Source organism: Homo sapiens, chromosome 11 (genome assembly GCF_000001405.40).
Source record: "Homo sapiens chromosome 11, GRCh38.p14 Primary Assembly".
In the NCBI taxonomy this organism is placed as follows: domain Eukaryota; kingdom Metazoa; phylum Chordata; class Mammalia; order Primates; family Hominidae; genus Homo; species Homo sapiens.
Window position 1 is genome coordinate 131,175,207 of NC_000011.10, and position 25,713 is coordinate 131,200,919.

The following is a 25,713-nucleotide window of genomic DNA, read 5'->3' on the forward strand; positions in this document are numbered from 1 at the left end:
ACCATGGCCTAAAGATACGGGAGTGATGTCAATCAGCTCACCAACTTGTGGAAATTTTAATAATTCATTCTTCTGAGCTGTTAGCTGCCTCCAGTTTAGCAGTGCTTGAGATGATGTTTTTCCTCTGAAGTAAGCTCCAATGATGGTTAAACCTGTTTGTTTGTTTTAAATTTCTGTCTTAACCATATCACTAGCATAGAATCTTTTCTTCTTCATTTACTTACTTACTTACTTGACTATTGAATGATTCCTGCACCCCCACTCAACCAACACACACACACACGCGCACACACACACACACCCCTACCTAAGTTTCATGAAAGCAAGGACCTTGTCTGTTTTTTCAGTGCTTTATTTCCTGTGTTCACATTGGTATTTTGGCACATAATATGTACTCAGAAAATGCTGGTAGAACGAATATATGAATAAATGAATTTCAATCAGTAATTAACTCCCCAGTTTAATTCTGACCCCAAATGCTTTGCCATGGTCCTGACTAGAATTCACCTGAATGTGTCCCACAAATCTGATGCCACTCTCCTAAGTGCAGTCACCTTTAACGTTTCTTGGTGTGTGGCCACTGTTTTTTTGATTGCTTGGATTGGCAATTTCTCTGTACTCAGATTGCATGAGGCCTGTCCAGCTGCACAGCCTACCTATCCTAGTCCACAAATTCTGCTCAGTCTTCTCCTCCCACAAAAGGCAATTCCAATGCCCATGTCTGCATGTTTGCATAGGTATTTACCTGCTTCTATCTGAGCATTTGCTCCACCCCTTCTTTCTAATGTCAATCCTTCACAGCCCAATTCTTATCCTCTTTCCTCCATGAAGTATTTTCCTTTCTATTCAACTCATACAGATTTTTCCCTTCTCCAAACTTCTGTTGAGTCTAAAGTTGAGAAAATTGCCACCTTTGGCCTAAAACAGAGGGTACATCTTAACTATGGACTGTATGCTCTGGGGATGTTAACAAGTTAGTATTAATTTCCTGTGGGTGATTATGACACTGGGGTTATGTAGGAGAATGTCTTTATTCTTGGATAATATCTGCTGAAGAACTGAAGGATAAAGTGTCATAATGTCTACAATTTACTTGCAAATTATTTTTGATATGTGAGAGAGAGAGAGGAAAATGGAGCAAAATATTAATAATTGGTATATCTAGATGCTGAGTATGTAGATATTTATCACTACATTATACTTTCATTATTTCTGTAAGTTTGGCATTTTCAAAATGAAAAGTTGAGAGATAAACTGGTGAATTAGAAATATCTATTAGGCTTTAAAGCATACAGTTGTCTGGTTCCCACTCTTGAAGCTCTATAGCTTCTGGCTCAGTAAGTCTAGGTGGTTAAGTTCAGGTGTATGTGTTTTTATAAAACTCCGCAGAAGATGCTAACATGGAGTCAGGTTTCTTTGAAGCCCAGTCTGAGACCATGGGCTTCGCTGGGCAATAGCCCTTAGGGAAGAGGAGTCAGGGCAGCAGAATAGGACTGTGGAGAGAAGCCAGGCAGGGATGGGCTTCGCTGGAGCCTGACTTCAGGCTGAGCCTGTGGGAGAGTTCTGGAGCACAAGTCACACTGCAGACTTGGTCCCACGTGGACGCAAGAGGCTGGTCTTCTGTATCCCTAGGCCAGTCAGGTTTGCTGAGGTCTGATCTGGAAGAGGGGCTGGTGTGGTGGGTGGTAGCTGCCCACATGAAGGTTTGGCCAAGGATGACTCTCTGGAGAGACAGCTGTGAGTTACTCATCAATGCTCTAGAGGGGGCACAGGGTCCCCTCCAGTCGAGGGGACCTGGGCAGACACCAGCAGGCTTCAGCACATGTGGCCGAGTGTTGAAAAGTACTGCTGTCAAACAGCACGGGCTGGAAATGTATTGCTCCTTACTTCATGAGCCCTAACTCTCCAACTTGAGGCAGGGACCATGCCCGAGGCTATTAATGACCTCTCCAGAGGCTGGCGCCTGTTGGGCACATTCTAAACAGCCAGTGCATACTCACTGGCTAAGGGAACTGGCTTGTTTCATACCCCTACAACAGCATCCACCCAAGCCATAAGAGACATTTCCTTAGGAGACAGGAATTCTTGACTCTGGTGTTGTGAGGAGGAGGGTGTAGAAGGCTAAGAAATGGAGCTTACCACTTGCTCAAGAATTCCACTTTATAATTGTCAGCTCCTGTTTTTCATTATCTGCTCTGTATCAAACTACTTAGAGCAAATACATATTATTTTAGTTGGGGTCTCTCCAGAAGCAAAGATTTAAATAGTTGGTTTGGGAGGTGATTCCAGCACACGCCAGTAGAAGAGTGAGCTGACATGGGAAGGGAAGGTAACCAGTACAAGGCACATCACCAAGTGAGATGCCACCCTGGGACTCAGTCCCTCTGGGAAGTGCTGGGCCCAGCGTGGAATATGTGCCTCAGCGCCATGTAACTCATGATACTAGGGTGCTAAGATACTTATATGCCAATCACATCAAAGTTTGCGTGTGGGATTAGGGAGGTCTTTAATTCTCCAGTTCCAGGCCAGTGCTGCTTGGGGGCAGAGCAGTTTCTGGTCACAGAAGAAAGCCCTCAGGCGACACGATGCAGAAACACTGCAACAGTAAAAAACGGCATTTGCAACCCTGATCCCATTTCATTTTACCTACAATAGCCCTTTAGCAATATCCTCTTCTACAGGCTAGGAAGGGGGACCAGAGGAAGCTCAAGAGCTTCCAAACTGTAGCTATTTAGTAGCCATCAAAGCAAAATTTGAACACTGGTAGGCTCTGTCCCAAAAGTTAGTGCTCTTACCTGAAACAGGTCCTAAAGCTTTCATGGGTGGTGACTATCACGATTATAAGTGCTGAGTGAATGGATGGCCTAGGACGTTTGGCAGCTCTCTTCGGGCCAGAGCTCAGTGGTGAATAAAAATCCACCAGGTGTCAGTAAATTGGAAATGGGCTTAGAGGCAACGTACACCCTACTAAGTAGCAAAGGTCAGCTTGTCTAGAGAAGCATTCATGCAGGAGCCAGCTGGCACTGAGTGATTTCTCTGGCACTGCCTAAGCCTCTAGGAACACACATCGTCGTTTCTGTCGGTCACAGCTCTAGCCTGCGTGGGGTTCCGGTGACTGCCTCCTCAACCTTCACGTCAGCGCCAAGCCCCTCACTCATGTCATTCTGCACCTCACCAGCTGTCTGTCAGGACCCTGATAGCTCTCTTCTAGAGGAGTCTCAGCTCAGTTGTGTTGATTGAAGACTTCTGCAATTCATAAGCACAAAAAAAGAAAACCAATGGGGAGGTCAGGAAAGAGAAACTTGGAGAAGAGCTCCAAGATAATTTACTAGGTAACAGCCTTAAGAGAGCAAGCTTTCGCTATTGCAAGGATTTCTGCATTCAGGGTATTCATGTGTCTCTGATGTCTCAGGATTATTTTTGGTTGGTTTCACCAGCATGCCGGGTCACTGGGTTGACTAGTCCTGGGACACCATTCATATGAAAGTCTATGTCCATTGCATGGCCCACATGCTGTGTTTACTGAGCCAGCTGGGTCTACAGCTGGAATATGTAGATCTGAGTCTTTAGAAAGAAGCGGTTGAGTCTCCGTTGCCATGAAATAGTGGCCAAAACAAAACAAAACAAAACAAACCTTTGGAAAGTTGCAAACTCACAGCATTTAAGAGAAGACCAGAGGTTGGAGGATAATCCTAGAAAGCTTAGCCAGAGTGGGTGGAAAGTAGGAAGTTGGATTAGATGTTCTCTAAATTTCTTTCCCAGCTCTAAGGTCATGCAATTTTAAATCTCAAGACAGAATACTTTTGATCCCTGTTCATAAAATAAATTTAAGAAAGTACTAATGTATTGTTTACATGATAAAACTCATATATAGTAGTCCTCCTCTATCCAAGGAGGATACATTGCAAGACCCCTAGTGGATGTCTGAATCTGCAAACAGTACTGAGCCCCAGCTATACTGTATTTTTTTTCTATACTTACATACCTGTGATAAAGTTTAATTTATCAATTAGGCATGGTAAGAAACTAACAATAACTAATAATCGAACAGAACAATTGTTCCAATATACTCTAATAAAAGTTATGTGAATATAGTGCCTCTCTCACTCTCTCTCTCTCAAAGTATCTTACTGTGTTGTACTCACCGATTTTCAGACCGCAGTTGATCTCAGGAAACTGTAACCTTGAAAAGCAAAATTGCAATAAGAAGGTACTACTATATACATAGATATTTGCAAAGGATGACATTAAAATATAAATACATATGCTAACTTTTTTTCTAGGTCCCTGATGAATAAACTTACACCACCCTTGAGGTATAAATATTGTAGTTTGGATACGACTGCTATAGGTGCAAATTCTTTCCTTCCCTGTTTCACCTAATACTGCTTTATAGTACCAAAGGGATTTTGACAAAACAAAATTTTTAGGAGGGCACTGTGCAGAGCCATTCAGAGTACAAGAGCTCTGGAGTCAGAGAGCCCCAGGTTTAAATCCTGGCTCCATTCATGTTTAGCCACATGACCCTCCATTTGTTGCTTAACTTATTAAGCCTCAGTTTTTTCACTTGTAAAAATAGGCCTAATTATAATCACAGTACCCATCTTCCAAGATTGTTGAGACAATGGAGGTAAAGCATGTAAAATGCTTAGGAATATCCTGGCGCATAGTAAGCATATAATAAATGGCAACTACCATTCATTTTCAAATGAATCTGCCCCCGCCCCGACTCCACCCCAAAAACTTCTCCTTCCCCAGTACACAGTACTTATTGCTGGACTGGCTCAAAGATCCAAGCCCCTTACTGGGCTATGACACTGCTGTGAGGGCTCTGGTGCCTGCTGCTTCCCCCTGGAGGCCTCCAGGTCCTGAGAAGTGCCTCTCAGACAAGTTCTTAGGATGGTCCCTGGAAACTACCTGGTTGCTTTCAGGTGTGGCCTCCTCCTGCCCAGCGTCACCATCCTGGGATTCAATGATACAGAGAAAAGAGTCTTCCTGTTGTAAGAAATGCATAGGCCCAGTGACAAGGAGGAAGTTTCCAGAAAGAACCACTCTAACTTTGAAGAGAACTTGGAGTTTTCTTCCTCCTTCTCCACTACTCTCATCACATGCGTTTGATCCTGGAGAGTGAAGTTTCTTTCTTTTCACTATCATTTATTTTCTTTTTTGAAGCACAATGTATTATAAATTTTCCTGAAAATTTTTTTCTTGGTCAAGATGAAAAATAAGAGGTGAAACCAGAATCTGGAAATTATGAATCCGAGCGTCAATTTGTTCATCTGTAAACTGGGGACTCAACTTAGGATTTAAAAAAACAGCCGACGTAAGGAAGTGTGCTTTGTATACATTTCCATATGTAAGGAAGGAATTACTTTTGACTCTTCCTCGAGGGGAAATGGTATGATAAAATTGTGAGCAACAAACCAGGAAGTCTGTTTTGATCCTCCGTTCCTCTGTGGGGTCTATCATTGACAGAGAGAGCACCCTGGAGAGCCAGAGAGTGCTAAGGCAGGAACGGGAGGGAGGGAGGGAGAGAGAGGGAGAGGCTTCTCCATATAATTTAAGGAAGCGGGCTTCAGAATGAGAGGGGAGCAAAATGAAGGGTGAGGAATGTAACTATTATAATTCTGATCTATTGCACCATCTAAAAAAGACATCTATTTGAACTCCTGTACAAGCAGCAATTACCTGGAAAATAAATGTAATAAGGATCTCCTAAGTTGGCAGTAAAATTAGCATCGCTGAATTTTAATTAATAGTCCAGCTTGGAGAAATATACTACTCCGTCTGATGGAAAGAATGGCCTCATCCATGGAGCACGCTCTCTCAAATCAGTGCTTTCAGCAGGTATTTTGTTTTCCTTCCATTTCCCAGAGATTTTGGCAACTCCAGCATCACTGGGAGAACCAGTGGGTAAGCATACTGTAGCAGCCCGTCCAAAAGAAATGCTGTTGGTCACATGCTGCCTCTGTGGACCTCAGTTTCCCCATTTGCAAAATAATGGAATGGTGTGTTGTGGATGGGAAAGATTTGAATCTCTTGTGTTCCTTTAGCTTAATATTTTTTGTGTTTTTGTCCAGACACCTGTTCTTTTTAGGTTCCTCTGTTTTCTGTATTAAACACTGCCACAGTAACAGTGACGTAGACAATGGTGGTGGGGAAGAGGGGTTTTATTGAGAACCTAGGATGTGCGGGCACTGGATGAGAGGCTTTGCAACCATTACTGATTCTGGTCTTCATGACCTCCCTTTGAAGTGGCTCTTATTTGTGTCCCCATTTCACGGATGAGGAGAGACTGCTAAGCCAAGCCTTGTTCAAGGCCATATAGCTGGCCACCAAATGATTGTGGTGGTCATAGGATGAAGAAAATTAAATAACGTTTTTTTCACTGGAACTCTTAGGAACCCCACTGCTCCTTTTGAAAGTCAGAGAAATGTCCTGCCTCTGGGACTTTTAAATTTCTCAGGGTGAAGTCTTACAAGATTCACCAGCCCCTCACCCATCACATTCCCCTACGGATTCGCTGCTCCTCCCATTTCTGCTTAGTGCAACTATTTTCTCATTGTAGTACTCTGAAAATGTTCAGATCACCCTTGGTTATCTGTTCCTCATTCTTCATATCCAGGCATTCATCAAATTCTCTGCTTTCATTACTTAATTCAGTGCTAATATGTCAGATACTGCATGAGAAACTTAATCATAATAGCTCCTTGATTTATATAGTGTTTTGGATTTTCAAAGAGCATTCACGTGCATTATCTTATTTAATCCTCACAATGGCCCTTGAAATAGATGATCTATATTTTACAGATAAAGAGATGGAAGCTCAGAGAAGACCAAAGTCGGATAGCTAGTGTGAAGAAGAGTTGTATTATCGCCCACATCCAAGTTTAAAGGCCAGTGTTCCAAGTAACATAGTCTTCCTCAGTGTCTCCTATGTCTGCCTTACTTTATTCATTTCCACAGTTTCTTACAAGTTCCAACCCATACCATCTCACCTCTGCTTTCTACGGCAGCCTTGTGGTTGGCATCCTTGATTCCTGACTCTCTATTGTGATCCAGATTTAAACTCCAGTTCCTTGTTTTTAAACCTATGGTGGATCCTTATTATTTTGGATCTAAGTTATATTCCTCTATAAATCTTTCAAGGTTCTCCATTATCTGTCCTGATTCTGCACTTGCAAGCATGTGTCCCACCTTCCTCAACTCATCTGTGTATCTCCAGAACCTAGCTCCATGCCGTGCACATGGAAAACCACTCAACACTTGGAGCACATTTTCATGACCCTCTACATTCCATTCTCATCAATAAAAGACTAATTTTTTAAAGAGCCAACTGCACCATGTTAGAATAATCCTAAATTCTGTTTAATACTTACAGTTTATATCTTTGCTATTCAAAGTGTGGACCAGAAGGATACACATCACATCAAAGCTTGTAAGAAATGTAGGATCTTGGGAACCTTGGGCTTAATCAAGATCTGAATATTAACAAGGCCCTAGGTTACTGGTATGCATATTAAGTTTGAGAAGCACTGGGCAAAAGATTCTAGTCACGATGTAATGGGCCAAGTAGAGGCTCTAATTCATAAGTGCCTGAGTTTGAATCCCAGCTCTGCTACTTACTGGCTTTGTAACCTTGATTAAACTTGTAAAGTTCCTTGGGTCTCTATTTCCTTGTTTGTAAAATGAGATTAGTAATAGTTCACTGACTTTGAGTCAGGCATTTTGTATGCATTATCATTGCATTTTGGATATTCCTATTGTATTTTTTGAGATGCGAACACTGAGGCAGTGTGGTATAGTCAGGTAACACAACACATTAGCTGGCAGAGTTGCAGTTCAAACCCACATCCATCTGATGACAGATAAGTGACATTTCCACTTCACTTTCCCATTCTATATGCTCTATTGTTGGGTTTGATCACATATTATTGTGAAGACCAAATGAGATTCAGGTTGTTCTGGGTTTCCTACCCTGTAAAACTACATAGAAATATTATTAGTTATTCATATTATTGCTTGCTTAAGTTGTTCTCTAATCGCTTTACATATTTTACTTTGTTTCCTTGTAGCTATCAGTGTCCTTCCTTATTGCTTGGATATTTGAAGAATGTGAGGTACCACTTCTTGCTGCAAACAAGAAATTCAAGTACACACTGAATGTACATGTGGATGCTTGCACAGGTTGATTAGTGATGCCAGAGAGGGAATGAAAGGAGTCAGAAGATAGAGGAGAATAAGATCAGTTGGCATTTGATTTATCCAGGGAAGAGAAAAGTATGAAAGAAAAATGATTAGAAGTAGGTCTAGGAAAGTAAACAAGATGAACCTGGAGGGTTTTAGATTATTTAAGTAGGAAGTAGAGAAAATTTTTGAGAATGGCTTAGGCTTAAAAAGCTAGGAAATAAACTGGTCATTGGGTTTTAGATACGAATTTCCCTAAAATGTGAAATGAGTGTAGTATTTTTTCAGGAAGCTGGGCTTTCTCACACCATGCTGTTTGTCCTTTTGTATATAAATGTATCATTCACCCATCACTGCTGCTGTGGAAGTTCTAAGATGTGGGGAATAATAGAGTGATCAAAGCCTTAGCAACATCTAGGAACCAGAGAGAGGAGGCATTTCTCCTGGAGGTGTTATTGTCATTTGTCGTATCACCAAATGCACATCTACGGTGATTCTGGACCATTTTCCTGCCTTGATGAATGGAGTGGTCACCACTGTGTTGAAGATACAGCCATCAAAAGGCAGCTGAATTGTGCCTTCTTTCATGTGCACCCCTCTGGGCTACTCTTTTCTCAGTCGTGGGGGAGAAAACAGCACATCTGATTCCCCAGTAGTAGAAGGAGATTTAGAATCTGGGAAGAGAGCAAATAACTAGCAGCTTAGGATGTCTGAGATTACTTTACATGTTAGTCTCAACCCATTGATTGTGTGTAGAAAGCTGTCAAGAATGAATATCTTACAGAATGGAAGCCAAGAGAGTCTAGGTGGTGGAGACAGCTGAATTCCTATGAATCTAAGGAGAAAATCCAGACTTTCTTCCTAAGCTGGATCAAGCTGGATGGTACCCCTACAATGTATATGTATAACTTGCAGATTTACATTTACATTCCCATGATCCTCACACTGTCCGCAGCTGGACTGTTAGCCCATGACTGAGAAGATATAAGGGAAAGTATTGAAAGGACTTCCAATGCCCAGTTTAAGGAGTAAACAAAGAGAGCATCACACACTTTGGTTTAGAAATAACTTTGTATTTCATTCCACCTCCCAGTTGAATAATAATCTACTTGAGGGCAGGGATCAGGACCACTGAACTATAAAGAGAAAATTATAACCCGAGTCTGATCTGAGACTGAAAATACTTGTGTTCAAACTCAGCACTTTGCTATTTAATTGCAGTATGCTCTGCAAATGTACTTAATCTTAATCTATAAAATGTAAAATTAACACATTTCATGGTTGTTTGGGTAAAGTATGATGATATCTGAGAACATTTTTGTAACCGTTGACTTACTTGTTTTTGTGTTTGAAACTCTGTTTCACCTATAGCAACTTTAAAAATTAGTAAGAGTAACTTATTGTTTGCTTTGTGCTAGGCATTGCACTAAAGATGTCATATACATTCTCTACTCCTTGGAGTATCATTTTGAAGTAGATAATATTTTTGTCCACATTTGACAGATGAGTAAATTGGGGCTTAAAAAATTAATGAATGAACCTAAGGTAGTGTAACTGCTGCATGATGAAGCCAGGACTTAAATTTCCATCTGTCTCTTTAAAGCTTGAACCACCTTGGTCTCTCAACTCTAGCATCACAAGGAATGATTGGTTGGTATTCTTAAAGACCTGTGGTTAGATTTATAATAATCTGAGGGAGGAGCAGAAGTGTTGGGTGAGCAGATCTTTGTTTCTGCAAAGGTCACAGGCCAATATCTTTGGAGACAAAGGCCTTTCATAGGGGGGTTCAGTTAACTTTGAATTTCAGATAAACAATATTTTTAAACTATATCTCATACAATATTTGGAATATACTTATACTAATAATTATTTGTTATATTTTTATTTGCTAAATCTGGCAATGCCAATATAGGAAATCATCAGCCCTAGAATGAAATAGAGTTTTCCAGAACCCCCCTCAGGGCTTGGCTGGAATCTGAGCAGTGATTCTGGAAGTGGGAGAGATGAAGGTCAGTGAGGCACAGTGATGAAGGTCAGCGGGGCACGGGGCACAGTGATGAAGGTCAGCGGGGCACAGTGATGAAGGTCAATGGGGCAAGCCTCCATTGGTCCTCAGGACATCCATATTCCAAGCCTTTCTCCACCCTGTCTGGACAGGCTGCCACCTCCGCCTCCCTGCTGGCCATGTGGTTGCAGCAATATGCCCTTTGTGCCCAGGCTTTAGACCAGAATTGGTCAGAGTCATTGCAGCAAAAATGGGTGTCACCTTCAAGAACCAAAGATTTGGGCAGAGACATGGCCATGAAACAGGGTAATGTCTTACAACTGTCTATAGGAGCAGGGGGTGTGGAGATTATTTACATGTAAAAACTGAAAACCAATTCATCCATAGCTAATTTCAGCTCAGACCAGCAGGAAAATTGCTGTTCAAATTGGTATTTCTATTGCCAGGTTTATTGACAAACATGAAATAAAAAAGCCTCTTTGCTTTATGAATTTGTTGTAAACTTAAAAAAAGTAGAAAGGGGGTTTATATTCCCCAGTTGGTGGCATACTGGATTTTGACAGACCTTTTCTTTTGTTAAGTGTGAAAATGCTGTGGTTGTTGAGCCAGGATACAGCCCCATTCCATGAAGAGCAGTGTGGCTCTGGGTCTTTGGATAGAAACTTTCATCAGTGCATGCTTCGGTGCATTCTTCCCTCCTCCCAGGAGGCCTGTCCTCATTTCAAAGCTGGGGAAAGCAGGAGCCAGATAAGGGAAGTGACTTTCCCAAGGTCACAGACGGACAAATGTGCTAGCTGCTGGGCAGAGCAAAGCTCAAATCCTCTACAGCTGGGCCTGCACCACCTTCCCCCCACCATCCCCCAAACCTCCCCCGCAACCTGGCCAGGGAAGCCCAGGATGCCTAGACCAGCCCCTCAAAACAGTGGGCACTTTCCCGCCTCTCCTCACCAGTTCACAGCCACCTTATCGCCTGAAAGCCTGCTCCTCTTCTCCGTCACTGTTGTCTCCCAGCCCTTTCTCACTGGTGTTTGCAATCCTTCTCGGCTTCACTCAGTCTGAAATATGTAGGGATCATAACTTGTGGGTTCGTACAAGAAGCCAGCAGCCCTTCCATAATTGCCACTGACGTGGAAATACAGGAGCAAATGAGTAGCGATTCATATGTCGCCGCATGAAAGAACAAAAACCTCTACCGAGGAATTAAAGTCATAAATATCCTACAGGGCTCCTACCTGTGAGCTTGTTCCTGACATCTGGAATGGCAGCTCACTGGAGCCACTCTGCTGTCAGCATCCTGCTCCACGCTGGCTGCAGTGAAGCTGTGAGAGCAGAAGGGACCAAAAGGGGAAGTGCGGGGAGCCAGGCCTGAGGGTGGGGGACTTCCAAGGGAAACCTGGTGACAAACAGGTCACTTTCCCTTACCATGACCACAGCGACTAAGAGGCCCAGACTCACTCACTCCCTCTTGGAGCCGCCCCGAAAGCCTGCCTGCCACAAGAGTTCCTGTCCTTGCGAGAGGCGGAGCAGCTTTGTGGCTGATCTCCCATCTGGTTGACAGGAATGACAGCTCAGAGTTGTGCTCCTGGAGGGGAAAGTGCTGAGGGCAGAGAAGAGGAAAGAAACTGCAGCTAGGGGTTGCCCACGCGGTCGTGGCAGGCTCTAACAGGCTGCAGAGATGAGGGAAGCAGGCAGGAAGCTCAGAAGAAAGCCAATCGATGACCCTTAGAAGGTGGGAATTTTACTAATGGGGCTCTCTCTTGGCAGATGTTTACTATTTCTGGAGGTGGGAGGGATGCTGGCGGCGGGGATTGCATCCTATGCTGGAAGCAGCTGTTGAATGTGATTCTGTCATTGTGGCAGGGATTCCCAGGCTTGGTGCTTTTTCCTGGGACCAACACTATTTGCTAAATGAAATGGATCCTTAGCTACTCATGACAATTTGCCCAGTGTTTTTTTGTTTTGTTTTGTTTCATCGTTTCTGGCTACTGTTATGAAGTGAAAGCACAGTGTTTTCTAGGGGCCCTGAGTTGAGTACTAATTGGATGGGTACTGACTGGAGACATTTCACCTTTGCTTACCCTATATCTCTATCCATCGTTCAACAGGTGTGCTAGTATGATTGAGCTCCTGGATGCAGACCAATTCTAGTAAGCCATTCCTCATAAGGATGGCCTTGGTGGTTGCTGGAAACTCTCATAGGCCCTTTGTGCCTTAGTTTTTTTATTGGAAAAATAGGAGGCTGGGCGCGGTGGCTCACGTCTGTAATCCCAGCCCTTTGGGAGGCTGAGGTGGGTGGATCACGAGGTCAGGAGTTCGAGACCAGCCTGGCCAATTTGGTGAAACCCCGTCTCTACTGAAAATACAAAAATTAGCTGGGCGTGATGGCACGTGCCTGTAGTCCCAGCTACTCGGGAGGCTGAGGCAGCAGAATCGCTTGAACACAGGAGGCAGAGGTTGTAATGGGCTGAGATCACACCACTGCACTCCAGCCTGGTGACAAAGCGAGACCCCATCTCAAAAAAAAACAAAAAAGGAAAAAAAATATTAGCTTGTTCATTTGGGCTGCTATAACAAAATATCTTAGACTGGAGGTGGCTTATAAACAACAGAAATTTATTTCTCACAGTTCTGGAGGCTGGGAGGTCCAAGGTCAAGGCACTGGCAGATTTGGTGTCTGGTGAGGGCAACCTTCTTCTCACTGTGTCCTCACATGGTGGAAGAGATAAGGGCACTTTCTAGGTCGTCTCTTATAAGGACACTAATGCCATTTGTGAAGGCTTCATCCTCATGGTCTAATCACCTCCCAAAGATTTTACCTCCTTATAATATCACTATGGGGATTAGGATTTCAACATATAAATTTTGGAGAGAGGTATGTTTCAGGCCATTGTACAGCTGCACATCTTTTTGTGATTGCTAAAGTGAGTAAAGATCTGAGATTTGAGGTCTAAAGAGCTGTCTTCCTCCTGTCGTTTACCCAGACGAAAGCAGCTGAGCTTTTGTCTTCCTGGTTCTACATAAAATTGAGGTGGATGAAAATGAAGAAAATGGAAAGGAGTTCTTCCCTACAATAATTTAGGGATAGAATTGAAAATGCCATATTTTTATGTATAAACCAATTTTGAGATTCTATGAAAGGAAGATAAAAATAAACAGCAGGATTCAAGATAGATGCAGGCTATCCTGTTTTACATCAAGGCAAAAATGAGTAGGCATTAGTTCAAAACATCTCCCTACTCCTGGCTGTCATGTAGCTTCCACTTTTAGGCCCCAGTGTGGGTGATGACCAGCAGAGGAAAGAAACTAGGGATTTTAAGTTGACCTACTCTGCAGGAAAGCCTAATGCTACAGCTGCCAAACTAGTTAAACATACCTGCCTTTTGACCTATTTGTGGCACCTCACCAAGACCTTGATATAGATGGACTCTTCTTTGCCTTAACATTTAAACATGTTGCTCTAACATTCCTTGAGTTTTCATCACTTTTAAGACATAGTGGTGCAGCTTGGTAAGAAAGAAAGAGTGTGGGCTTAGAACAGTTTCAGCTCCACATCCTGACTTCCCTACCAGTAAACCATGTGACCTAAAGCAAACTTTCTTCTCTATGTCCCATGGTCTTACCTAAAAGTAAGGATACTAATCCTCGCCTGCCGGTGTTGTGGAAGGGTAGGGGACCATGCCTTTGCTCAGCAGATCCTGGGCACTGAATTAATTTTTTTCCTGTGCTCCTTATTCCTGGAAGTTGTCAGCACATGCCACTGCTTCTGCTAAAGGAGAGAGCAAATAACGTGGCAATATAAGCTAATTGTGTGTTTATTTTTGTAAAGGAGGATGGCTGCTTTTAGACTCACCACTTCCAACTTACAACCCAAGATAGTATGTTCACTGAAGAAGCAAAGATACTGCATTTGACCAACTAGGCACCCAGGAAGTGAATGAATAGTCATGCAAGTAAAACATCAAAGACTTGAAAAATTCTTCTAGGGGTTTTCTGTTCAGAGGTCCAATCTTTAGGATGTAAAAATTAAGTAAATAAGAAAATTATGTTTAAATCTTTTAAAATATTTTGTAAATTCCCATTAAAGATACTGTATCTAGGGGAGTATATATCATATCTTGCCATCTATGTGAAATAATGGGATGGAAAGCCATATGTGTTTGCTTATATATGATGGACTGTTTCTGGAATGATTCAGAAGAAATTGGTAACTGGGTGACACCAGGAAGAAGAACTTAGTGTGAATCGGGAATCAGAGGAAACTATTTCACTGGGTGCTCTTTGGCCCTTTTGAATTTTGAACTACAAATGTATTGATTAGCTCTTCACAGTAAAAATAAAGAAAATTAAAACTTCAAGTAGAGATTGTATCTTGTGAAAATCAATGTACTTTCTGTTCATTTCTAAGAAGTTAAATATTTGTAAAACTATGCCATGGCAAATGTACTTCAAAAATACAATGTCGACTCTAGTTAATACCCAGAGAAAATCCCCTTATTTTGTACCCATTATTATGCTGTTATGCTGGCTCACCAAGGATTTAACTCTCAGAGTAGTCCTATTACCCCTGTGAATTCTGTGTGTGTGTGTGTGTGTGTGTGTGTGTGTGTGTGTGTGTGTGTGTAGAGACTTCCCTGGCTAGGGCTCAGCCCTAATGAGGCTGAAGTCTTGGGTCTGACCTGCAGATGACAAGTTAATTGCACTCTGTTCTGGGGGCACAGAGTGTGCCTTTCACCCTGATTAGCTGCTTGTGCATGTGGCCATTGGCCTTGCAGCTTGCAGTGGCAACCCTGGGTGCAAGCCTGATGAAATCCATACAAGTTCATCTCTGAGTAGAACGACAAGTGGGAGGTCAGGGGAGCGCCCACGTAAGGGTGGAGGCAATCTGGGTGAGGGTGGGGGAATATACGGGATACTTACAAACCAGCGCTCCCCTGCAGCAGGGATAGGTCTGCCAATCCATTTTCTGCCCACTGCCCTCTTCTGTTCACACTCTTGACTCTTAAACTTTGTGGTTAGAGTTGGTGCAAGTGCTTAAGTGGGCTGGGATGGGGGTAGAGGTGTTGCAAAAATGCCTACCGAGCTTTATTGGAAGTTCTAACTAGATATCTGAACACATTTTGGGAGTCGGCAGGTCTGGGATTAATTCCTCCTCTGCATTCTGCCTCAGATCAGCACTTGTGATATTTTAGACATGAGAAAGTTTTCAGAGTGTCATGCAGGGTGTGTGTATGTGCATGTGTGTGCATGCCCGGTGTGGGGCGTGTGTGTGGGAGATGCAGAATGTGAAGGCTGTGCCTCCCTTCTCAGTACTGAAAGTTTTCTAGATACCACTGAGGGTGGGAGTGGGCTGGGGAGAGGGGGTGGTTCTAGTCCCTGTCTAACCATATCTGTGCCCCCTACAAAGTCCCACATAAGAGTCCCAGGCTCGCATAGTGACAACCAGGTTGGAATCACAGTTTTAATAACATACACTTGTAAAACTTTATTTTTCTAGCCCTGCTCCCATGCTAACTGTTTCATTCACTAGGACTGGACAACCCTTGGACATAGGCTTAACTTTATTTTGCATATGAAGAAACTGGGGCCAGTCTCGAGAGTCTCCTTCAATATCAAGTCTTGAGACTCACACTATTTCTCATCTATGAATAAGAGGTTTGGGGATATTTGGTATTTCTGCATCATGGTCTGATTCAGAAGCCAGGAAAACATGGTAAGTGTAGGGAGCTTGCTCACAGATTCAATTATATTCCTTGAAGAACATTTTCACTGGAGCCTAGATTTAAGCCAAATTTGGGGCCAGTTCTCATTTCACCTGAAGTTAGTCCTAATAGCTACCTGTTAGTGTTCATTGGTGCTTACCTAGCAGGAAGTTATTGGTAAATATCATGTGTTTACCCAGTAATAACACACCCATGTGAATTACTAATTACACTCAGCAGGTGCAAAAGTCATTAACCACAACACATCCCTGGCACTGGGGGTAAAGGAGGCAGACCATGTTGTATTAATTTAGTAACTGCTTATTATTCACCCTATCTGAGGCTAGTTCCATCTCAGAACAATGAGAAAGAGCTGTGTGGTCCATCTGCTGAAGCCATTTGTCATTGCAAGTCAAGGACAGAGCTGGGCACGGGGCGGTGTGGGTGTGATTGGCCTCTCATTCTCCTTGTGTGAACTACGTGAACAGGCAGACCAGGGGGGATACTGGAGGTCTCAGGCCAGCCCTGGTGGCAGAAGAGCTGGCCTTAACAGCCATGTGGCCATGACCCATACGGGTCTGTCCTCAGCAAATTTAAAATCCTTAGGCTGGCCTCCCAATGCCCAGCATGTTCCTCAGCTGCTGTGTGCTCAGGGAATTGAAACTAATTTTCATATTAGCCCTAAGCAAAGCATAATTAGAAAGATAAATCTTCAGCAACTTTCTCCTACCCAGGCCTCTCCACTGCCACCTCCCACCCCCGTCCCACCTCCCTGCCATCATGTATTATGAAGCCCGATATAAACGGCTTTGAGATTATCTGTAGCAACACTAAACACATTTGTTCAGCTAATTGAAAGTTGGTTGAAAGTCAGGCAGGGAGCAGTGGTGTGAGCCCTGTGAGGTGTCCTGCCTCCAAATGCTGGGAGGAGGAGACAGCTTGGTGGGGACCTTCCCCGCTCATTCCTTCAGATGCCCAGCCCTCACATCATTTGTTCCTGGAGCAGATGCTGGCTTATCATGGCCACAAGAACGTATAAAACCAATGGTGAGATATTTCTTGCATGGAATAAGGCTCCCTTAGATTTCAAATGTCCATCTTCATCTCTGGAAATAACTGTTCATCTTTCACAGCTTTATGTCACTGCAGAGAGACTCTCCTTGTTTTTGCTTGGTCTCCTGAAGGAGGACACCAAGATGGCAGGCATGTGTCTGGCAACTTAAGGAAGGAGTGTCCATGGGGGAAATCAGATTGGCTTCCCCTGGGGGCAGGAACCATGGTCTGGAGTGATGGCCAGGAAGTGGGCTGCTGTCTACCCACCCACGGGTTAGGGAGAGCTGGGCTCTCTGTAGACATGAAGACAGCTAGATTCTCAATTAAGGAGAGAAAAGGGGCTTTATGATTTAGGGGGAACTTGGCCTGTGGACTGGATGACTGAGAACTTCCTGCTTTACTCTGTTGAAAATGGGCTTGGCTAATGATACTAGGCCATCTTGGATAGGAAGACCAAACTCTATTTCCTAGTTCTTCTTTATCTTTCTTCCAGGAACCAGCACGAGGTTGCCTTCTAATTCACGTGTCTCATCATTTCACTGAAGATGTATGGAACGCTTCCCCCTTTCAAAGTGTTAAGTACTTTGCTGTCAGCATCACCATCACAGCCTGCGAACTCGACACTAAAGAGAGAGAAGTGGAAAAGGCAAAGTAAGAACAAAAGCCAGCCACGTCACAGGGCTCAGAACTCGTCCTGACAGCTGGCCCCTCCCTCCCCAGGCCTGACATGAAAGGGTCCTTTCCAAGCTCGCTGGAGACTCTCTGACCCCCATTTCTTCCGGTCCTGAGCCCCAGCTATTGTGGTTTCCCTGCGGACACCTCACATATCACCGACAGCAGACCAGAATCCCGAGCCTTCTGTTCTTCACATATTTCCCACACCTTTTTTACCCTACAACTGTCATCTTTGGCTTTCTTTAAAAATTTCTACTCTTTATATTACGAGGTGTTAAAAACAGGGAGGTGGGGGCGTGGATCTTAGCTCAATTAGGGAACTCTGGAGTCAGCTTTCTCCCGACAGCAACACCCCCATTCCTCACCCTGCCCCAAGATCAAGTTCTAAACCTGGAGCGTTCCACCAACCCGCTTGCCCTCATTCTCTGCGGTGCATACCCCCAGATCTCTCCTGTTAAGTCTCCCAGTTATCCCCAATTTCGTGATCTGTGGTTGGTGCTCTAAAGAAACAGGCAGGATCTCGCTAGCACCCTAATCTTGAAGCTCTGACTGCGTGGGTCAGGGAGCTCTGAGAAAGGAAAGCCTGTGCAGAAGGTTGAGGTAGAAGGAGGTGTGTGCATCGCAGCTTAATCCCCACTCTCTGGGCTGCAGGTGATTCTAAGGCACTCGCAAGTACACCACATATAGTACACGCACTCCTCCGTGCCTTTTCTCAGGCTCTTTCCTCTGCCTGGGATTTCTTTCTCTACTTTTTTTTTGTGGGGAGATATTCTTGGTTCTCATTCATGGATCATTCAGGGTTAACCCCTTTTTTCATGCTTTCCCCAGTGATCTTGAGGCTGACTTAATCCCTCTCTCCTGTGATTCCCTGTTGCCCTTAGCCATAGACAAAGCATGTGGGGACAGGGGGTGGTTCTTCCACTAGTTTGCAGGCTTGTCTGTGAGATCTGGTTCTCATTTATCTTAACATTCCTAGTGCCAAGAGTGATACCAAGACACAAAGTAGGTCCTGAATGAGGCCAGAGTGAATGTAACTCCCAAAGCAAGCCAGCACTTTCCAAGGGTCACCTTGACCTTTCTAAACACAGTCCCAGGGCTTTGTGGGAAGAGGACTGACATCTATTAGTACCCACTATGTGCTAAACGCTGCGATAAGTCCCTTACACCTGTTCCTTCACTTAATTCTTAGAGTAAGTGAAATGGGCATTTTCATTCTTTTTAAGAGATGCAGAATTACTTACAGAGGTTAAGGTAGCTTAGGCTGAAAAATTGCAGATTTCCTATGCAAACCCACGTTTCTCTGGCTCTAAAGGATGTATGTTTTCCCAGCCTTTGCTGTCTCCTCAGGGAGCTGAGCAGGAAAAGAGTATTTCCTCTTCGCCAGGAGCACCCACTTCTGAGACCTACTTTGTTCCAGCTTCATGGGGATTTGTCCATCCCTTTTGCAGAGATTGATGGACCCTGCATGGGGGAGATCGGGTACATTCCCTTCCTTCAGGGTACCTCTTTTAAGTCTCTGATGTAAACAAACAATTTCTGACCAAATCCCAGTTTCTCTGTTATGCACTGTCTTCTATTTTCCGGCCACGTCTGCAATCGGTTGTATGGAGAAAGTCTGCCTGGCTCTGGAGTGGAAACTCCACGAATTCACTTTGAATGTGGGGAATTCACAATCGCTGCTTGAAAACAGTCCCTCTGAGCTGGCCCACCCCGCTTCTCTCTTGTTAAAATGCCACTTATTTGGCTTTTCAGCCATATACAGGTTTTATACGATCTATTATGTGGTGCTTTAATTACTGTTGTTTATTGATTATGATTGTATTCGAATTTCCATGGATTGCCAAGAATGACTTGGCAAAGGGCACACAAAGACAATATTATAATATCATTACCAGGAAGGCAGTAGGCCTGGGTTACAGTGTGAAAAGCTAAGTAGCAACTGAAGGGAAGGGACGGTCCTCCTGACTGGTGTGGCTGGCGTGTAATTGTGAGTCTGCAGTGGGTTGCTCATGGGGCCTTTGTTTGGAGTAAATGCTCCTAGAAGGAAGCAGCTGAGAATCTTCCCCAGTGTTGTGTAGCACTTGGTAGGACTTCAGTGAAATGTGCTGTACTTCCCGTACAAAAATAGCAGCCCGCTCTCAGTGTGTTTGCCAGCAATAATGATGCCTGTGCTGGGATCCGGCTATATATACCTTTTCACCGGATTCCCACTGTGATCAGGGCCACAGATCCAGAGAAAGAAACTGTCCCACATGAGGACCATTGCTCTCCACTCATCAGCCTCATATTATAAGTGGCCACCAGCAGGCAGGGTTCATTTACACTAAACCTCAATGCTCTGTGAAAGGGCTTTGCTAGAAGCTGTACTCGCTGGACCATCACAGCTCGCTTATTGGCCACTGATTTATTGAAATTTTCATAAACGCCCGTCCTGTGGTAGGTACTCCTCTCTCCCACCCGCCAACCTTAGTAGTTAGGGATAAGGAGTACATGGTCGTAGCTACAAGGAATTTAAAGATCTAGCGCCTATCTTCATGGAGCTCAGCATCTGGTGGGGGTAGACAGAAACCGAAAACAACAACGTCACCCAATAGGTGTTCAGGGTTTGACTTCATCACCCTCTACACTCTGATAATACTAGGTCATTACCAAGTGGTCTGCATTCACGTTCGGAGCTGCAGAATCAAAATGTCAATGCATTCCCTGCCCCCAGAATCACATATTTATTCTCAGAAAAGATGAGCTAAAAATCAGCTCTTTGAGGAAGGAGCCACTTCGCTTGCTCACAGTTCCAGTGGTTACTAGTCTCTGCCTTCAGTCAGAGAAGGCATCCTGCTTCTTCCTTCAGAACTTTGGGCTTTTTGGCAGAAAAGATACTGGAGGAAAAGTGTAGATCTGCCAGAATTGAATAAAAACATCGTCAGAGAGGACAGATAAAAGGGAACAGAGCAGCAGGTCCTAAATGGGCAGATAGGCAGCCCTATGAAGAGAGCCGCCTTCAGGGTAGTAGGTCGAGGACTGAGCAGAGGTCTGGGGTGGTGGGCATGGGGGGAGAGTCAGGGCACAGCCTTCTCCACGGAGAAATGGAGGAAGCCAGCCGTATGTGTGCAGGGTGGCTAGGTGCCAGGCGGGCACGGGGAATCTTCAAGGGGATAAATACTCAGAGATTTCCAACCCTTTTGGGATGAGTGCCAGGGAAAGAGGCCAAGATTCCAGGGAACACAGCCAGGACAGGGTTATTATAATCCCTAGGAGGATTCATTTGCCAGCTACTGAAGCAAAAGCAAGCAGCACCCTGAAATGGAGACTAGCTATTTCGGAGCAATTAGCCATTGGTGCCTGCTGCTGTCTTTGGAGAAGCTCCAGAAGCCAGTAGGGTAGAAAGGAGGGCAGGGAGCCCTGGTCTGCTGCAGGGGAGATGACTCCATCTTTGGTATCTCCCCACCTGACAGCTCCCTGCAAATCCAACACCAGACCTGAGATCCGAAGGGCTTCTGCTCCTACTGGGTTCATGCCCTGCCCTCAGGACAGCACTGAGCCATCACAGGCGACACATAAACAGAACAGTCCCTGGCTGCCCAAGAGCGTAAAGTCCAGAATGTTAGAGCTGACCAGATTCTCTTCTCACATCAGGATTTTGAGCCTGGCACACATTAATACTTTAGAGAATTTGCCTTTGGGGGACAATGAATCACCCCAAATTATTCTATGTATACGCATTGTATATGTATATGTATAAAATTGTTCTATGTATATGCATTTTTTTTTCTGGTGAGAAGATCCAAATATTTATTAGAATTTCAAAGGGTCTGTTATTTGTTTATACTACTTTGTCCATTCTTAGTCAAACAGAGAAAGGCTAAAGAGGTCCTTATCCCACCCATATTCTCATTATTGCTGTCAAATGTCACTCATCAACATGGCCTCTTTAAGGGTAGTCCAACAAGACCTGGACATTTTTGGGGTGAAGGCAGGATGGGGGACAATTGCACTTAAAAACTTTAAGCTGCTGCTCCATAAAGGATTCACCAGTGCCTTTTTTCTCTCCACATTGCCTGTTCGGAAAACTTTCCAGGCTCTGGTCTCACTGACTTCTGTGCCTTTGGGGTTTCTTTCCGGACATCCTGGGCCTTGGAGCCTCTGGTGACAGCTTTAGCTCATTTGCTTTGGTCTGAGATCCTGCAAAATCCTGAGGCATGGCTTGTGTCCACTGCCCTGTGTATCTCTCCTGCTTTCCAATGGGCTTGGCTACTCCCTGGAAAAAATCCACTGGAGTAGAAAGAGATTAGGTGCTATTGCAGTTGAATAAAACAGCAATAAACTTCCAACTTTATGGAGCTAGAGAGGCAGTGTATGTCTGCGTTTTGTTTCACAGCACTGGATACAAGAAGAACAGATTGGGTGGGTGCTGCTCCACCTGCATGGGTAGATGAGGCCGGAGGGGAGCCAGGCAATGCATGGGGTGTGGAGATGCTATCCTAGTGGTAATAATGTTTAAAACTTTTATGCCAATATAAAGGAGTCCTCAGCAACTCTTGAAGGAAGGATCTCTTTTGTGCACTGCAAAGTAACTCTCCAAGTCTTTGTTGTGTGTCCTCACCGTTCTCCATCCTGATCTTTTTCCCACAGCCCTCCACTTTCAGCTGCCTCCCCAAAACAGAGCTGTTGCTCAGGTGCTGCCCATAGCCAGGGCTGGGGCACGATGCCTTCACCCAGAGCTAGGAAGATACCAGATACCTTGTGATAAGGTCATTGGAGGGGATTAGCACTTTCTAGGCTGAAGTTGAACTGGAATTACCTCTTGAGGAATCACATCTCTATGGACCTGTGCTGGCACTGCAACAGTGAAGAGAAGAGCATGACCCCAGCAATATTCTGCAGGAAGCAGCTCCAGCAAGTTCTGTGCTGGATGCTGAAGGGCGAGAAGAGAGAGGCGATAATGGGGTATCACAGAGGGGTTTGCGTGGCTAATCCCAAGGGCTTCAGCTTCAGTCCCATCCCAACCACTAAGGAAGCGATGAAGCTGCCTGTGACTCTCCGTGTCCCTGGAAGGATGGGCTGGGAGCCGGGGACACAGGCGCAGGACGCAGCAGCAGTATGGGTGCTGCTGCTGGGTCTGTTCTCTTTGAAACTGGATGAAGAGAGAGAAATAGGGGAAGAAGGGGAACGGCTGCGTCGTCACTGTGTTTATTTCTGACCGCCCTAGGGGACAGTAACTGTGCAGGTGGCCCCGACTCCCAGTCTTGCATATCTGTGCATTTCCTCACCTCCCCTTCCTGATCATGCTTCCCAAGGACTCACATTTGAAGAAGTTGGTATTTCTGGAGCACTCACTTTATGGGAGACAATCTAAGGAAGAGGTAGTTTAGGATGAAACATGTTTTTTAAAGCCTAACGGAGGTGAGGCCTCTGCCCCAACACGGTTCCCCTAACCTTAGGACCAGGTCATGCCCCACTGCACCTAGACGCATCCCACCTGTCTGGCACTCTTTGTGCACCAGCCTTGCCTCCTTGCTCCACCTCAGGCTCCCAGGTGCAGGAACCTGCTTTGCATGCCTTCCTCCCTCCACCACATGTGGCTAGCACAGGGCTCTGAGGAGCGACGGGGGCCAGGCAGCAAGGGGGCAGGGCAAGTCATTCCTTGGTGCCTCCCCCTTCCCAAGGTGCTCCTCTCACCACCGCTCTGAGCATTTGTCTACAGGTCGAAGACACAGGGGCACACACAGGATGTGCCCGCAGCAAGACAGCACTCCGATTTCTGTGCTCTAAAGACGAAGGAGCTTATTGCATATAAATGATCATGCGTCTTTCAACGGCTTTGCTAGTATCATCAGCTGGTTGGCTGGACACGTGCCTGTCTCCTCCCTGGGTCACCGCCAAGTTACCATTCTTTGCCAGAGTTATCTTCTGATCAGGACTCTGGGCTCAGGTCATGCCTGAGGTAGTCCTTTAGTTCCCACTTGGGCAGCATAACTATCAAAGCCCTGCTGGACACCTGGTTGTGATGCAAGCAGCCAGGGGAGGGGGTCAGATGGCCCAGCCTCAGGCCGAGAAGTCCAGGGGGTGGCTCTGGGGCAGGAGCCTGTCCAGCCACAGGCTGCCTCTGCTAATGGGAGGGACCTGTTGTCAGGCACAGCTGAGCCCAGCTCCTAGGGACTGGCACATGGCACAGAGGCCTGCAGGGCTGACAGGAAGTTGGTAGCGGGTGCGGGCACAGTCTGCCACCCTTGCCTGAGAGGCAGGGTCTGGCTCCTGCACCATCTGAACATCTTGATTTGCTGCTAATGAGCAGCCGACACCCACCAAACCATGGGGCCCGCAGCAGCTGAGACCAGAGCCTCCAGCCCCTGGCTCACAGGGATCCACAGAACCCACGGCCATGCCTACCCCGAAGCTGACTGGCAGGGCCTCCAGCCAGCGAGGGGCAAGGGCCTGGCTGTGGGCCCGAGGGAGGCCAAGGGAGGCCTGGCTCCCCAGCTCGGGTGCCACGGAGCTCCACAGCTGGCTGCACCCAGATCTCCTGAGGTGGAGCAAGGATGAAGTCCCAGCCTCATTATCCTGCTTCAAATCCTCTCCATGCCTGCACATGCTGGATGCTGTTATCTCCATTTTACGGACAAAGGAATGGAGCTGAGGAAGGGGAGACAGCCGAGAAACAGCTCACAGGCAGCAAGGCTGGGAAGCGACCCCAGGGGCTCTTGGCTGCAGAGTTTGTACTTGACAGACTTGAAGATGGTGTCGCTTAAAAAAAGACAAAAGGAGGACTTGTCTTTCTGTGCCTGGCTTCTTTCACTAAGCATGGTGTCCTCCAACATGTTTGTTCATGTTATCACGTGCGGCAGGATTCCTTCTTTTTGAAGGCTGAATCATATTCTATCGTATGCGTAGACCACATGTTAAAACCCATTCATGTGTTGCTGGGCCCTTAGGTTATCTCCACATCTCGGCTGTCGTGAGTAGCGCCGCCATGACCATGGCAGTGCAGATAACTCTTTCAGATCCTGATCTCTACTCTTTTGGAGAAACAGGCATAAGTGGGGTTGCTGAATCGTGTGGTGGTTCTGTGATTCCCTAGAGGCATCTAAAATAGTCCTACTCCTAGAAGCAAGAATAGAATGGTGGCTGTAGGGTGGGGGTATAAATGTTAGTTATGCAAGATGAGTAAGTTCTAGAGGTCTGTCGGGCAACAATATGCTTACAGATAACCACGATGTATTCTCCACTTAAAACATCTGTTAAATTCGGAAGATAGATCTCACATTATTTTCTTATTACAATACAATATTTTTTTTTGAAAAAAAGGAAAGAAGGAAAGAACCCATGATGACCCCATCAGCATATCATTCATGAATTTCCTTCAAACATTATGATTCTCAATATAAGGAATACTGGGGAGAGCAGAGTAGTAGTTATCTTGTACTCACCTGATAAGTGTAAAGCATGCCTTTATATCTGTCATCATATTTGATCCTCATAACCACTTTCATGAGGTGCGTATTTTCTAGGTTTTTCAGGTGTGCCTAAAACCCAAGGTCCAGGTGAGTAGGAGGCTCGCTGGTCGCACAGCCTGCCCCCACCTTTGGGTGCTGGCTCAAGTGTGCTTCCCACCTGGCACCTGGAGCCATTGGCAGAATCGGTGTTGGGATGGGCACCGATCTATCCCAGGTCTTTGCTCTGCTTTCAAGCCCCTTACTGCCCAGCTTTGACCCGGTGCATGCTGATGAGTCTGTTCCAATCACTGCTCATTTTTGCAGTGTCATCCTTCAAATCCATTTGTTCCCTTATTTGATTAATCCAGGGGATTAAGCCAATGCGCAGAAGCTTTGATGTGGCAGGAGGAGTGTTTAAGCATTTCTCTCTCCCCCTTGAAGTGCTTCTCCCTCCTGGTGGTACTGGGGAAGGAGAGGCAGGGCACACGCAGGTGAGAGAGAGCATGTGGCCCTGCAGATGAGAAAGGCGGCACAAATGAAGGGAATGACCTGGAGCCTCACAGTTTTTTACTGGAAGTAAAAAAATCAATCCATGACCTTAAAGAACTTTATGAATTCCTAGCTTAGGAATCAATGCACACCGATTTTTGGGTCTCCGCTTGGG

At 45.2% G+C, this 25,713-nt stretch overlaps 2 long non-coding RNA genes across 5 annotated transcripts in view, besides 1 other annotated feature; one reads left to right on the forward strand and one right to left on the reverse strand.

Moving 5' to 3' along the window:
• Positions 1-336: 336 nt before the first annotated feature.
• Positions 337-11,515, reverse strand: LOC105369578 (uncharacterized). 3 transcript variants are annotated; one of them, XR_948201.3, is made up of 5 exons: positions 11,425-11,515; positions 11,141-11,247; positions 4,146-4,183; positions 2,796-3,246; positions 337-2,596 (listed from the first exon to the last, which is right to left on the reverse strand). It is a non-coding gene; the product is annotated as an uncharacterized LOC105369578 (long non-coding RNA). The 3 variants fall into 3 exon arrangements; XR_001748462.2 differs by having other exon boundaries at positions 337-3,246; XR_948202.3 differs by lacking the exons at positions 337-2,596; positions 2,796-3,246; positions 4,146-4,183 and adding an exon at positions 10,620-10,919.
• Positions 11,443-11,672: an enhancer, noted in NCBI's record as "active region_5758". NCBI's record gives its function as "activates an Ori minimal core promoter by ATAC-STARR-seq in GM12878 lymphoblastoid cells {active_cell/tissue: GM12878}" and the evidence as "EXISTENCE:reporter gene assay evidence [ECO:0000049][PMID:35858748]".
• Positions 11,604-25,713, forward strand: part of LOC107984412 (uncharacterized) — a 45,435-nt gene continuing 31,325 nt past the window's right edge. For both annotated transcript variants that reach the window (XR_001748463.2, XR_001748464.2), the window contains exons 1-2: positions 11,604-11,921; positions 17,438-17,595. This is a non-coding gene — a long non-coding RNA (uncharacterized LOC107984412). The remainder of the gene's footprint in view (positions 11,922-17,437; positions 17,596-25,713) is intronic.